The sequence below is a fragment of the Homo sapiens genome, chromosome 1 (genome assembly GCF_000001405.40).
Source record: "Homo sapiens chromosome 1, GRCh38.p14 Primary Assembly".
Classification (NCBI taxonomy): domain Eukaryota; kingdom Metazoa; phylum Chordata; class Mammalia; order Primates; family Hominidae; genus Homo; species Homo sapiens.
Genome location: NC_000001.11, coordinates 37,775,476 through 37,790,652, shown reverse-complemented (window position 1 = coordinate 37,790,652; position 15,177 = coordinate 37,775,476). Strand labels below are relative to the sequence as shown.

General features: G+C 45.7%; 2 pseudogenes; one reads left to right on the top strand and one right to left on the bottom strand.

The window, feature by feature from the left end:
* LOC100129497 (valosin containing protein lysine methyltransferase pseudogene) lies at nucleotides 7,753–8,637 on the top strand (annotated as a pseudogene).
* Nucleotides 8,638–11,114: 2,477 nt separating this feature from the next.
* On the bottom strand, nucleotides 11,115–14,016 carry ACTN4P2 (actinin alpha 4 pseudogene 2; annotated as a pseudogene).
* Nucleotides 14,017–15,177: the final 1,161 nt, after the last annotated feature.

The following is a 15,177-nucleotide window of genomic DNA, read 5'->3' as shown; positions in this document are numbered from 1 at the left end:
GAAGCAATTACCTACTGACCCCCTCCTCCACTGGTCAAGCATTTTCCCTAGGGGAGTTAACTTCCTTGTATTTCTGGTCTCCTGTTGCCAAGCAGGCTCCCAGGACATCAGAGAAGGTTTTGAGGCAGGTATAAAGAGAGACGGACACATTATTTATTCAAGTGGGATGCCGCCAGTGTGAGGAAGACTAAGCTCGCACAGAACCATCCATCCTAGATGTACTCATTTTCTGCTGTCATAACAAATTACTATAAATTTAGCAGTTAAAACAGCACAAAAGTTTACTGTCTCATGATTTCTGTAGGTCAAAAGTCTAGGCACAGTGTGACTTAGTGAGTTCTCTGGTTGGAATCTCAGGAAGCCAAAATTAAGGCGTTGGCAGGTTACACTCCTTTCTGGAGGCTCTAGGAACGGATCTACGTCCAGCTCAATGGCAGAATTCAGTTCCACACAATTGCAGGGCTAAGGCCCCCATTTGCTTGCTGGCTGTCATCTGGGGGTCTTTCTCAGTTTCTAGAGGCCTGCTGCATTTCTTGGCTTGTAGGCCCCTTCTTCCATCTTCAAAGCCAGCAACATCAGATCTTGTCCTTCTCACACTTTGGATCTCTCTGACCTCCCTTTCTACCTCTCTCTCATACCTTCCTCTTCTGGTTTTAAGAGCTCATGTGATATATTAGATGCCGTCAGATAATCCAGGGTAACTTCCTCTGTTTAAGGTCAATTATTGGCCAGGTGTGGTGGTTCATGCCCGTAATCCCAGAACTTTGGGAGGCCGAGATGGGAGGATCACTTGAGCCCAGGAGTTCGAGGCCAGCCTGAGCAATATAGCAAGACCCTGTCGCTACAAAAAAAAAAAAAAAACAAAAAAAAAACAAACAAAAGACCAGGCACAATGGCTCACACCTGTCCCAGTACTTTAGGAGGCCAAGGTGGGTAGGTTGCTTGAGCCCAGAAGTTAGAGACCAGCCTGGGTAACATAATGAGACCTCATCTCTAAAAGTTTTTTTAATTTAAAAAATTATAAAATATAAGGTCAACTAATTAGTAAACTTCATTCCATTCCACAAAGTCCCTTCACAACAGTAACTAGATTATTTTCAATTGAATAGCTAGAGGACAGGAATCTTGGTGGGGGACATCTTAAGAGTTCTGCCTAAAAACTTTTCCTAAAATCAAGGTGGGCCAAAGAGATGTGACACGTGGCATTCAAGGTATGTATTACACCCATTCTATCGATTAGAATGTGTGTTCAGCCACAAATAAGAAGGAAAACAGCTAAACATGGCTTAAAGTGCTTCTCACACTTTAGTGAGCATGTCAGTCCCTTGAGGATCTTGTTAAAAATACAGATCCTGATTCAGTAGGTCTGGAATGAAACCTGTTTTTGTTTGTTTGTTTGTTTTGTTTTGTTTTTTGTTTTTGAGACAGGGTCTCACTTTATCACCCAGTCTGGTGTGCAGTAGCCCAGTCACAGCTCACTGCAACCTTTGCCTCCTGGGCTCAAGCAGTCTTCCCACCTCAGCCTCCCAAGTAGTTGAGACTACAGGTGTGCACCACCACGCCTGGCTAATTTTTTTTTTTTTTCGGTAGAGATGGGGTTTTGCCATGCTGCCCAGGCTAGTCTCAAATTCCTGGGCTCAAACAATCCACCTGCCTCAGCCTCCTGTAGTGCTGAGATTAGAGGTGAGAGCCACTGTGCCTGGCCAAGAGTCTATGTTTCTAAGAAGATGCCAGGTGATGCTGATTTGACTGGTCCTTTAGGGCTTAGAGTATAGTGTATTTATTACCCCACATATTAAGGAGGCTTTAACTAGGCTGGTTCTAGAGATGGTTAATCTAAGGGTTCAAAGACACTGTGACATCAGATCACCTTCTCTGTGATTCTTTTTTTTTTTTTTTTTTGGCCTTCCCTTCATGATTGAGAAGGATGGAAGCAGTTCCAAGCATTCCATTCCCACAGGACAACATCCAGGTGCAGAAAAGGGAATGGCCCTATTTTATAATCCTTTTAACAAGTAAGATAAGCTCTTCTAGGAGCTCTCAGCAGGTTTCCCATCACTTCTGATTGGCCAGAATTGTGTCATCTATTCACATCCAAGCAAATCCCGTGCCAAGGCCATTCAGAGGTGAAAAAAATCAGAAAGAAGGGCAAAAGGAAGGGGATTTGGGTAAACAGCCAAAAGTCTCTCCTACATCTGCTCAGAGTCAATTTTCCCCTTCTTCCTTACAGAACTAGGACTGTGTTGAGAGAGCCCCCTTTCCCCACTATGGCTGGAGATGACAGGTTTGTTCTGTGAAAGAGTATAACAAGAGAATCCCCAGACACAGGAGTACTAGGCAACAGGAGAGGGAGGAGTGAGAGGCCATCCTGAAATCCAGGGGAGTCTGGATCAATAAATGGCAAGAAGTCCAGCTCTTTATATCACTCAGCCCCAGGAACACTGGCAGTCATAGGTCAGCCTTCCAGGAGCTGGGCATGGTAGTGCATGCCTGTAGTCCCAGCTACTCGGGAGGCTGAGGTACTTGAGCCCAGGAGTTTGAGGACAGCCTGAGCAAAATAGTGACACCTTGTTTCTAAAATAAATTTAAAAATTAAAGGTTAAAAAAATTTTTTTTTGAGATGGAGTCTCGCTCTGTCGCCCAGGCTGGAGTGCAGTGGCATAATCTTGGCTTGCTTTAACCTCCACCTGCCAGGTTGAAGCAATTCTCATGCCCCAGCCTCTCGAGTAGCTGGGATTATAGGTGAGGGCCACCACGACTGGCTAGGTTTTTTTGTTTTTTGTTTTGAGACGGAGTCTCACTCTGTCGCCCAGGCTGGAGTACTGTGGAGTAACCTCGGCTCACCACAACCCCTGCCTCCCAGGTTCAAGCAATTCTCCTGCCTCAGCCTCCCAAGTAACTGGGACTACAGGCGCACACCACCATGCCTGGCTAATTTTTGTGTTTTTAGTAGAAACGGGGTTTCACTATGTTGGCCAGGCTGGTCTCAAACTCCTGACCTCAAGTGATCCACCAGTCTCGGCCTCCCAAAGTGCTGGGATTACAGGGGTGAGCTACTGCACCTGGCCATAAAAAATTTTTTAAGTCAACTTTCCAAGCAAAAGTCCAAGTGACTCCCTGGAGAAAAAGAAAGACCCTTGGGAAAAGTTCTGCACAGACTGACATTGAGACCCTTGAGGAAAATCCTCCACATACTGAAAAGTCAGCTTACTGCCTGATCAACCCAGAGTGAAACACACAAATCAGCAAACATGCCTCTTGCGTTCAGATCTTTCAATCAGCTTTCTAGTGCCTCACTCTAAACGTGAATAACTAATGATTCTCAGACATTTAGTGAACGCTCCCTGAATGAAAGCCAGATATAAAAAGCTAACAAACAAAAAAGAAAGAAAGGAAGGAAGGAAGAAAAGGATGAAACAGTGAGAGCTAGCCTGGTGCAGTGGCTCATGCCTGTAATCCCAGCGCTTTGGGAGTCTGAGGCAGGGGGATTGGTTGAACCCAGGATGTTGAGGCTGCGGTAAGCCATGATAGTGCCACTGCACTCCAGTCTGGGTGACAGAGTGAGACCCTCCAAAAAGAAAAAAAAAAAAAAGTAAGAGTGAAAGAGTTGATGAGAAGAAAACAGAATGCAGCTAGCCAAATAAACAGATTTTCATATTCATGAAACAAAACCAGAATGCTATATACACGGGGGGAAGGATTGATCAGAAACCAATAAAAAGCTCTTGGAAATTAAAGCAATAGAGCCCAAATTTAAAATTTTATTATAATAGAAAGTTTTGGATGATAAAGCCAAGGAATCTCCCAGGAAGTAGAAAAACAAACCCACCCTGAGGAACCTTTCAGAACACTGAAACGAGAAATTACCAAAGAACTCATAAAATAAAATGTCCTGGGACATGACGTTCTGGATTGCAGTAGCCCCCTAAGTGAACAATGAATTAAAAAATGACCCATACAGTACTCATCATTATGAAAGTTCAGGACATTGAAAACAGAAGATCCAAAAAGCTTTCGAAGAAAAAGAAGTCAAGGATTTGGAATTAGAATGGCCCAGGAAAGCAGAAGGCAGGGGACAATTTCTTCCAAAATTCTGAGGGCAAATAATTTTGGACCTAGGATTCTACAATTAGTTTTAAAATTGTGAGGGTGGTGTATTGAACCTTGTAGTCAAGTAAAATGAAAAAAAAAATTTTTTTTTTTGGTCGGGCGTGGTTGCTCACGCCTGTAATCCCAGCACTTTGGGAGGCCGAGGTGGGCGGATCACGAGGGCAGGAGATGGAGACCATCCTGGCTAACACGGTGAAACCCTGTCTCTACTAAAAATACAAAAATTAGCCAGGTGCGGTGGCATGCACCTGTAGTCCCAGCTGCCGGGGAGGCTGAGGCAAGAGAATGGCATGAACCCGGGAGGCGGAGCTTGCAGTGAGCTGAGATCGTGCCACTGCACTCCAGCCTGGGCAACAGAGTGAGATTCCGTCTCCAAAAAAGAAAAAAAGAAAAAGAAAACATTTTTTTTTAATTATGAGAGTAGAATAGACTTTTTTTTTTTTTTCTGATAGGGTCTCACTCCAGCCCAGGCTGGAGTGCAGTGGTGCAATCTCAGCTCATTGCAACCTCTGCCTCTCTTGCTCAGGTGATCTTCCCACCTCAGTCGCCCAAGTAGCTGGGACTACAGGCATGCATCACCATGCCTAGCTAATCTTTCTATTTTTGGTAGAGACGGGGTTTCACCATGTTGCCCAGACTGGTCTAGAATAGACATTGTTTTTAGGTATTCAAGGTCTCAATTTTTTTTCTCCTATGCTGTCTTTCTCAGGAAGCTACCAAAAAATATAATAGAGAAGTAAATAAAAAAGGTGAGGAGGAACTTGGGATCCAGTAAAAAGGAAATCTAACACAGAGGAAGAGCTCAGGGGAGTCCCAGAGCACTACCTGTGCAGCAAGCCTGAAGAGCAATCTGCCCAATGGAAGCAGGAGGACACCCAAGAAGGCTCTTTCCCAGAGCAGCTGAAATTGATAGATAGGCTGGGCCTGGCGTGGTGGCTCCCGCCTGTAATCCCAGCACTTTGGAAGGCCAAGGCGGGTGGATCACCTGAGGTCAGCAGTTGGAGACCAGCCTGGCTAACATGGTGAAACCCTGTCTCTACAAAAAATACAAAAATTAGCTGGGTGTGGTGGTGCACACCTGTAATCCCAGCTACTCAGGAGGCTGACACAGAATGGCTTGAGCCCTGGAGGCTGAGGTTGCAGTGAGCTGAGAGTGTGTCACCGCATTCTCATTTTTCATTGCTCCATGTGGTTGTATCTTTTTTTTTTTTTTTTTTTTGAGATGGAGTCTCGCTCTGTTACCCAGGCTGGAGTGCAATGGTGCGATCTTGGCTGACTGAAACCTCTGCCTCCCGAGTTCAAGTGATTCTCCTGCCTCAGCCTCCCGAGTAGCCAGGATTACAGGTGCCCCCCACCCCCCACGCCCAGCTAATTTTTGTATTTTTAGTAGAGATGGGGTTTCACCATGTTGGTCAGGCTGGTCTTGAACTCCTGACCTCAGGTGATCTGCCTGCCTTGGCCTCCCAAAGTGTTGGGATTACAGGCATGAGCCACCGCACCCAGCCTGTATCTTTTTTTTTTTTTTTGAGATGGAGTATTGCTGTGTCGCCCAGGCTGAAGTGCAGTGGCACGATCTCGGCTCACTATAACCTCCGCCTCCCGGGTTCAGGCGATTCTTTTGCCTCAGCCTCCCGAGTAGCTGGGATTACAGACATGCACCACCATGCCTGGGTAATTTTTGTATTTTTAATTAGTGACGGGTTTCACCATGTTGGCCAGGCTGGTCTCAAATTCCTGACCTCAGGTGATCCACCTGCTTCATCTTCCCAAAGTACTGGGATTACAGGCGTGAACCACTGTGCCCAGCTCTATATCTTTATTAGTTGTTTTTTCTAAACTCTCCAACACAACATTTAAATTCCTCTGAATCTATTTTCTATACAGTCTTCATATTAGGATACTGATCATCTAATAAACAAAACAGAATGGTCAGATGACAAGTGCTGTAGAGAAACACAAAGCAGGAGGTGGGGAGAGGGAATGCCAGGCTGGGGAAGTTTTACAATGTTTAATAGGTTGGGCAGGGAAGACCTCCCTGAGAGGGTGGCCTGAGGGAGAGAGGAAGAAAACTGTGCAGACGTTTGGAAGAAGTGAGTTCCAGGAAGAAGAAACAGCAAGTTCATTTTCCTGGAGACGGGAGCATGCCTCATGTGTTCTTCATGCATCTGCTAGAATTTTTACTTGCATGTTTTACTGTCAATTCCACTACGTACCTCCCCAACCAAGGGCACCCCAATCTCTGAAGCACATTTTTTTAATGTTTATTTTTTAGAGATAAGACCAACCTGGGCTACATAGTGAGACCCCATCTCTAAAAAGATGAAATAAAAAACAGAATTGAAGCACAGGCCTAAAGACAGAAATAACCATGGCATGTTTGAGAGACGTGCTGTGTTGCCCAGGCTGAAGTGCTGTGGCAGGATCGTAGCTCACTGCAGCCTTGAACACCTGGACTCAAGCATTCCTTCTGCCTCACCCTCCCCAGTAGGTGGGATCACAGGTGGTGCTACTATGCCTGGCTAATTTAAAATTGTTTAATTAGTTGGGGTCTCAAACTCCTAGCCTCAAGTGATCTTCTCACCTCAGCCTTCCAAGTAGCTGAGATTACAGGTGCACACCACCATGTCCAGCAATGCACTTTTTTTTTTCTTTTTGAGACAGAGTCTCACTTTGTTGCCCAAGCTGGAGTGGAGTGGCGCGATCTCGGTTCACTGCAACCTCCACCTCCCGGGTTCAAGCGATTCTCCTGCCTCAGCCTCCCAAGTAGCTGGGACTACAGGTCCCTGCCACCATGCCTGGCTAATTTTTGTATTTTTAGTAGAGACAGGGTTTCACTGTGTTGGCCAGGCTGGCCTCGAACTTCTGACCTTGTGATTGCCCACCTCGGCCTCCCAAAGTGCTGGGATTATAAGCATGAGCCACCATGCCCAGCCAGCAATGCACTTTTTAATTCCCAGTATGCAAATGGTAACCAAGTCATATTGATAATGCTTGCAAAATATTTTCATTCTTTCTCTTTTTGTATATTTCCACTGTCACCATATCAGTCCTATAATGATATAATTATAGAATATTAGGCTATCAGTGCTCTTAGAAACCATCTAGTATAATTCCATCTTACTAAGGCTACTTCTCTGTGACCTTTCAGCTATGTCTCCAGAGTACCAGACAAAGCTTAATCATACCACACCTGGGTTTCCCCAGGCCCAAATTCAATCTGTTCTGCCTGCTGCTCACAAATGAGTGCTCCCTGCCCACTGTCCTATTCTTCCCCCACCCGCCCTACAGTAGTACCCCACTGGCTACCTTGGCAGGGCTTTCTCAGCTGCTGATCCAACATGACCTCCTACATTTAAAATGAGCCTGGGCATGGTAGCTTATGCCTGTAATCCCAGCACTTTTGGAGGCCAAGGTGGGAGGATCGCTTGAGGCCAGGAGTTCAAGGCCAGCCTAGGCAATATATTGAGAGCCTGCCTCTACAAAAAATTTAAAAATTAGCTAGGTATGGTTACACGTGTCTGTAGTTCTCAGCTACTCAGGAGGCTGAGGTAGGAGGATCACTTGAGCCCGGGAGTTTGAGGGCAACAGAGTAAGATCCTATCTCAAAAAAATAATAATAATATATATAAAAAAAAAAGCTATTGTTGCTGGGCAGTGATGGCGACTACGCCAGAGTCTTCACTGGAGGACCCAGTGCGGAGCTTTGTGCAAGTTTTGGAGAAGTGGGATGGTACGGTGCTACCACTACAGCAGTATGGCTCTGGCGGCATGGGTTGCATCGTTTGGGACGCTGCATATGTCCTTTCTAAATACCTGGAAACGCCTGAGTTTTCTGGCGACTGGGCCCACACGCTGAGCCGGCGGTTGGTGCTGGAGCTGGGTTCGGGCACCGGGGCCGTGGGGTGCATGGCCGCTACCCTCAGGGCTAATGTTGTAGTCACTGATCTTGAGGAATTGCAAGACTTACATGAGCAAGCACCTTGTCACTGGTTCTGTTCAAGCCAAGGTACTGAAATGGGGGGAAGAAATAGAAGACTTTCCTCCTCCACTCGTCTACATACTGATGGCCGACTGCATATACTATGAAGAGTCTTTGGAGCCATTGCTGAAAACTCTAAAAGATATCAGTGGATTTGAGACTTGTATTATATGTTGTTATGAACAACGAAGAATGGGAAAAAGTCCAGATATTGAGAAAAAATATTTTGAGCTCCTTCAGCTAGACTTTGACTTTGAAAAAATTCCTTTGGAAAAACATGATGAAGAGTACCAAAGTGAAGATATTCATATTATATACATCAGAAAGAAAAAATGGAAATTTTCATCATGAAGCCTTTAGTCATCTTACCCAAGCCTCTGACAACCTGGTAAACTAAAGATGTGAACCGAGCATGTGAATACAGCATGGGAAGATTGTGTCCACAGATTTTTTTCCGGCACGTCTTTAGAGATCCGATGTATAGATGACAACCACCATGGGCTGCCTGTAGTACAAAAAATGCCTGCCTGCTTGCCTGCCTGCCTGCCGGCCAATGGCCCTGAATCCAGCTTAGGTTACTTAGTTCAGCATCAAGTCCTGCTTACAAGAAATGTTGGGAATCAGTTATTCAAATAAAAATTGGTATTGAGGTGAGGCCCAAATCTGCCAAAAAAAAACAGTGAACCAGCATGACCTTTTATAGGAAACTAGAGATAAATTTCTAAAGAGAACTATCTACTATTATACAATAATGTTTTAAATTCAAACCAGTAAATTTTAGTTTGTCTTCAAAATTTAAAAGGTTTTCATTTTGTACATAATTATGCAGTGTTTATCATGTTTATCTGCCACTTCATTTCTCTTAAAATATCTTTAATACTTAAATGTTCTTTTAATTTTAAAAAGAACTGAGATATTGTCTTGTATACTTACATTGGCCAAAGTTGTATTCTTTTCCTCTACCATACATCTATGTGATTTAATCAGTAAATTACACTGTAATGAGTTGCTAAGAAGACAAATCAGAAGATTGGAGGAACAAAAGATATCTTTACAGATTTTTCATTTGAGAATGGAGTGAGAATAGAAAGACCAGTTTCAGGCTTAAGCACATAGGTGGCTCATGCACTTTTCTTTATATATATGTTCCAGGAAAATCTGGCTTAAAAATACTGGTATTAACTTGTTTACCTGAAACACTGAAAGGTTTTTGAATAACTACAAATTTAGTTCTATATGTATATACCAAATGAATTTTTATTCTGTGTCTCTCTGTTTTATGTTATAATGAAGCCATTTGCTCATATACAATAATCTGTCAAGGACTTTATTCATACCTGTTCCAAAGAGTAGTAACCGGATGGAAGTCTGGTATTTACAGGCATTGGTGCTAGATGGTATATTTTATGTGTTAAAATAAACATTGTTTTTGAGACCCTGAAAAAAAAAAAAGAACCTGACATTCAAGTTACATTGGTCTCCTTTCACTGTCTCTCAAACATGCCATGTTTATTTCTGCCTTTATGTCTGTGCTTCAGTTCTGTTTTATTTTATTGTTTTAAAGATGGGGTCTCATCATGCTCTCCAGGCTGGTCTTGAATTCTTGGGCTCAAGAGATCCTCCCACCTTTGCCTTCCAAAGTGTTGTGATTACAGGTGTGAGCCACTGCACTCAGCCTGATTCTCCCTTGTAATAACTTTTCTTTTTCCTTCCTATTCAGATTTCGCCCATCCCTCGAGACGTCTCCCCACCATGGTTTCTCTATGGTTGGTTCCCTGTGGAGTGGAGCAGAAACCATGTTAGCCGTGTTAGCTGTGTTTTAGGATGCTTGATTGCTCTCACACACACACCATCCTCACAGCAATCTTGTGTCATGGGTAAGGTCATTCCCCATTTTACAGGTGAAGAAACAAAGGCTCAGAGAGGTAGGGAGAGGCTGGGGTAGGATCTGAGCCCACATCTGCCTGTGCTCTTAATCGTTGCACAGTAAATACTCTCTCTTGAACCTGGCGCACAGTGTTTGTAGATGTCAGCTGAGTTGTTCATGAGCTGTTTCATATATATTGGGGTCTCATCACCCCCAACTGACCATGTTGTGAGGCTTGCGGAACAGAATGAGAGCAGGAAAAACCTCCACTTACAAAGGGCCCACCCTGTGTGAGATTCAGCACCATGTTCAGTAAGTATGGGGAAATGACAGGAGATAAAACCAAAGGTGCAAAAGTGGTTGAAACTCAGGGATGGGAGGAGGAAGCAGAGGATTTCTATTTCAATTATAAGCCTTGTAGTACTGTTTGACTTTTAATACTATGTACAATGTTACTTTGATTAAAAGTGAAAGTGTATTTAAACAAATTAAATAGGGAAGTGGGGACTAGTGGACTACCCTTTAGAACTTTGGATATGAAGAGAAGGAAATACAGGGCAATAACTGCCTTATATATTTGCAGTAAGGATTGAACAAACAAGGCACTTACACAATGTTTGGCCTAGAACCAGCAGCAAGAATTATAACATGAAGCAGAACATAGGATTAAGGTTCATCATGGGCTCATTAGACCTGAGAGATGTCATTATAAGAATAGGCTATGATAGGCCAGGCGTGGTGGCTCACACTTGTAATCCCAGCACTTTGGGAGGCCGAGGCGGGTGGATCACGAGGTCAGGAGATCGAGACCATCCTGGCTAACACAGTGAAACCTCATCTCTACTAAAAATACAAAAAAAATTAGCCAGGCATGGTGGCGGGTGCCTGTAGTCCTAGCTACTTGGGAGGCTGAGGCAGGAGAATGGCGTGAACCTGGGAGGCGGAGCTTGCAGTGAGCCGAGATCGCACCACTGCACTCCAGCCTGGGTGACAGAGCGAGACTCTGTCTCAAAAAAAAAAAAAAAAAAAAAAAAAAGGCTATGATAATAAGAGATCATTATGGTCTCCACCAAAGCAGAAAAATGCTACACCCTCCCCTGTCCCTTCTGTGTCCTCCAGTCTTTTTCTATCTTCCTTCCTTTTCTTTCTTTTAACAGAGACAGAGGAATGGGGACTGTAGAGGCCTACACCATGGGAAGGGGGCAAAGGGCTCTCCCAGCCCCTACCAGAGGCCACGAGGAAGGGTGTTTGATACGAGTCTCACCAGGAGCCTCATAGTCACTCTTGTTGTATGGAGCTATAGAGAAGGATTTGTAGACAAGGGCACCAGGCATGGCACTGGGGACCTGTTGTGGGGTCAGGTGGGCAATGCAGTACTTGACCTGGTCAGAGACACCTCTCCCTGCAGCTCCTCGGCTGTGATGAAGTTCTTGTCCCCTGCCATGACCTTGAAGGAGGTAACGACCTGGCTGTGTCTACGTTGGTTGTCTCCCAAGACCTGAAGTTGATGAAGGCTTGGGAGGCCACAAGGCTGCTATGGTTGGGGTCAACCACACTCCCGGTGCAGTTGAACTCAGCATTGCTCTGCTGTTATCCTCCACATTGTAGCCCAAGCTGATGAAGCAGGCCTTGAACTCCTTCAGCCCCAGCACCCTGCCATGGCTCTTGTCAGTGTGGCTGAAGGACACCTGAAACTCTTGCATCTGCTCCTGGCCAATGCCCTGGGTATTGCAGGTGAGGATCTGGTTCTTGACCTCACTGATGGTGCAGCCAATGGTGGTGAGCAGCTGCTCCCAGCCGTGCGGATGTGTTCCACCATGTAGCTGATATGCTTGTTGTTGAAGATGAAGACCTCCTGGAGGAGCTGGTGCTCTGCGTCAGCAGGTCCAGGTTCAGCTTGTGGTCCATGATGTTTTGCTCATATTGCTTCAGGTTTAGCTGGTCCTCTGGGTTCCCCTTCATTTTGATGGAGCTGCACCCACTTTCCTCCATCTTGGTCTGGATCCAGGGCCCCATGACATTGGCCTGGCTGGAGAACTGGTGGTGGAGGTGCTCGTTGGACTGCTGCTTGCTCTGCTCCTCCAGAAGTGCATAATCCTGCTTTGACACCAACTGCTGCACCTTTGCCCACTGGGAGTGGATGAACTGTGTGGGGTCGGGGGAGGTGACAGTGGTGTAGGGGTTGCTGCCTGACAGCTTGGTATGTTTGCTATCTGTGATCCTCTGGGCTTCCTTGTGGGTGGCCAGGATAGCCTCTTTCTCCCTATCATTATCTGGCAGGGTCAACTTTTGGCTGTGGGCTGAGATCAGGCCCTCAATCTTCTCAGTATTGTAGATGAGGAACATGTCCTGGAGCTCCTCCACGGCACTCTCCATCCAGTTGTAGAAGGCTCTGCCCACTTGGCATACTCCAGGTACAGATGATCAGTGGCCTCCAGCTGCTTCTTCATTTTCTCCAGGGCTTCCCTGTGACTGTGGGTCAGAGAGTACAGGGTTTCCCACTCCTTGTAAATCTTCTGGCACTGGGCATTGACAACTGTGGGAGTCACAGTAATCCAGCTCGTTGAGTTCCTGGGCAGTGTCCTCTATGATATTGTGAAATAATGTATTTGGTCTTTGATCCTGCTTCCTGGCATACAATGACTAAAAAATAATTAGAATTTCCAAAACAATGTCTTTTTTTTGTATGCTGATGAGTTGATGGATGGCTGGCAGCCCCTAGGGAGCTTCAGGATGGAGGCTGGTCACCAGAAAAACCAAGGGATAAGTAGAGGGTTGGGACTTTCAGCCCCACTGCCCAACCCCTGAGGAGGGAAGAGGGGCTGAAGATTAAGTTGATCAGCAATAGCCAGTGATTTAATCAATCATGCCTATATAATGAAGCCTCCATAAAACCCTGAAAAGACAGGGTTCACAGAGCTTCTGGAGAGCTGAACACATGGAGGTTCCTGAAGAGTGGCATCCCCAGAGAGGGCATGGAAGTCCCAAGTCCCCTTTCCCACACCTTGCCCTATGTGTCTCTTCATCTGTATCCTTTGTAATATCCTGTGTAATAAACAAGCCAAAGTAAGTAAAGCGTTTTTCTGAGTTCTGTGAGCTGCTCTAGCAAATTAATGGAACCCAAGTAGCGGGTAGCAGGATCCCCAATTTATAGCGAGTTGGTCTGAAGCACAGGCAAAAATAATTGGGCTTGTGATTAGCATCTGAAGTGGAGGCAGTATTGCAGGACTGAGCCCTTTCCCTGTGGGATCTGACACTATCTCCAGGTAGATAAAGTCAGAATTGAATTGAACTGGAGGACAACCAGCTTGTGTCTGCTGCAGATTTGATTGCTTGTTCCGTGGGTGGGGAAAACCCCACACACATTTGGTCACAGAAGCATTCTGGGTTGTGTGAGAGCAGAGGAAAAGTAGTTTGAGTTTTTTCCACTCTCAGAGCCTTGATCAGCTCCACAAAGTCCTGGTGTATGGCCAGATCACTCTCGAAGGCTTCATGGTTGTGGATAAGGGCTTTGATGTCTGATAGGGTGGCTGTCTCATAGTCCCGCTGCTTAAGCCTGGCTTCCTTCTCATCGGTCCAGGCCTCATGGATGGAGGTCTTCTGGAACTTCTCTGCCAGGTGGTTGAGCTGCTCCAGCCTGTGAATATCATTCAGCAGCAACTCCTCATGTCAATTCTTGGCCTACTCCAGGTGCTGCCCACTGTTGTTGATGTTCAAGACCATCTTACCCTCAGAGCCCATGAAGGCAGGCTGGTTGCTTAGGTGCAGCTTGGTCTGCAGCGTGTTGAAGGTGAGCTCCAGCTGGCCTCTCTCCTGCACTTTGGACAGCTTGTGGATGCACCAGTAGTCATGAAAGACTTCTGCTACATCTCCTGGAAGGTCTTTTGGGGTATGGGGTTCTCCAGTCAGGGGGGCTGTTTTGCTGAATCCACTCCAGGAGATCACTGGCCAGCCTCTTGTAATTTTCCATCAACTGCTCATGCCCCTGGTAGACAGCCAACATTTTGCGGTTCTGGTTGGTGGCAGTTGCTACTAAAAATACAAAAAATTAGCCAGGCGTGGTAGCACATGCCTGTAATCCCAGTTACTTGGGAGGCTGAGACAGGAGAATCACTTGAACTCAGGAGGTGGAGGTTGCAGTGAGGCGAGATCAGGCCATTGCACTCCAGTCTGTGCGACAGAGTGAGACTGTCTCAAAAAAAAAAGGCCGGGTGCAGTGGCTCATACCTGTAATCCCAACACTTTGGGAGGCTGAGGCAGGTGGATAACCTGAGGTCAGGAGTTCGAGACCAGCCTGACCAACATGATGAAACCCCATCTCTACTAAAAATACAAAATTAGCCAGGTGTGGTGGCGCTTGCCTGTAATCCCAGCTACTTGGGAGGCTGAGGCAGGAGAATCACTTGAATCCAGGAGGCGGATGTTGCAGTGAACTGAGGTTGCAACATTGCGCTCCAGCCTGAGAGACGAGTAAGACTTCGTCTAAAAAAAAAAAAATTACAATGTTAGTTTAGCGATATTGATTTTCTTTTAGTTACTGTTTGTATTATGTACCGTTTGCACATACTATCCTGTTTGTATGTTTGTTTGTTTACAACCTTTGCTTTAACATATCTGTATCCTTATGTGGAAATTTCTTTTCTTTCTTTCTTTTTTTTGAGATGGAGTTTCGCTCTTGTTGCCCAGGCTGGAGTGCAATGGCGCGATCTTGGCTCACCACGACCCCCCGGGCTCAAGCGATTCTTCTGCCTCAGCCTCCCAAGTAGCTGGGATTACAGGCATGCGCCACCATGGTTGGCTAATTTTGTATTTTTAGTAGAGATGGGGTTTCTCCATGTTGGTCAAGCTGGTCTTAAACTCCCGACCTCAGGTGATCTGCCCACGTTGGCTTCCCAAAGTGCTGGGATTACAGGCATGAACCACTGTGCCTGGCTATGTGGAAGTTTTTTAAAGCAGTATAAAGTTGCTGTTTAAAACCCAATCTGGGCCAGGTGTGGTGGCCCATGCCCATAATCCCAGCACTTTGGGAGGCTGAGGCAAATGGATCACTTGAGCTCAGGAGCTCAAGACCAGCCTTCGCAACATGGTGAAACCTCATCTCCACCAAAAAAAGAAAAGTACTAAAATTAGCTGGGCATGATGGCATCCGCCTGGAGTCCCAGCTACTTAGGAGATTGAGGTGTGAAGATCACTCAAGTCCAGGAGGCAGAGGTTGCAGTGA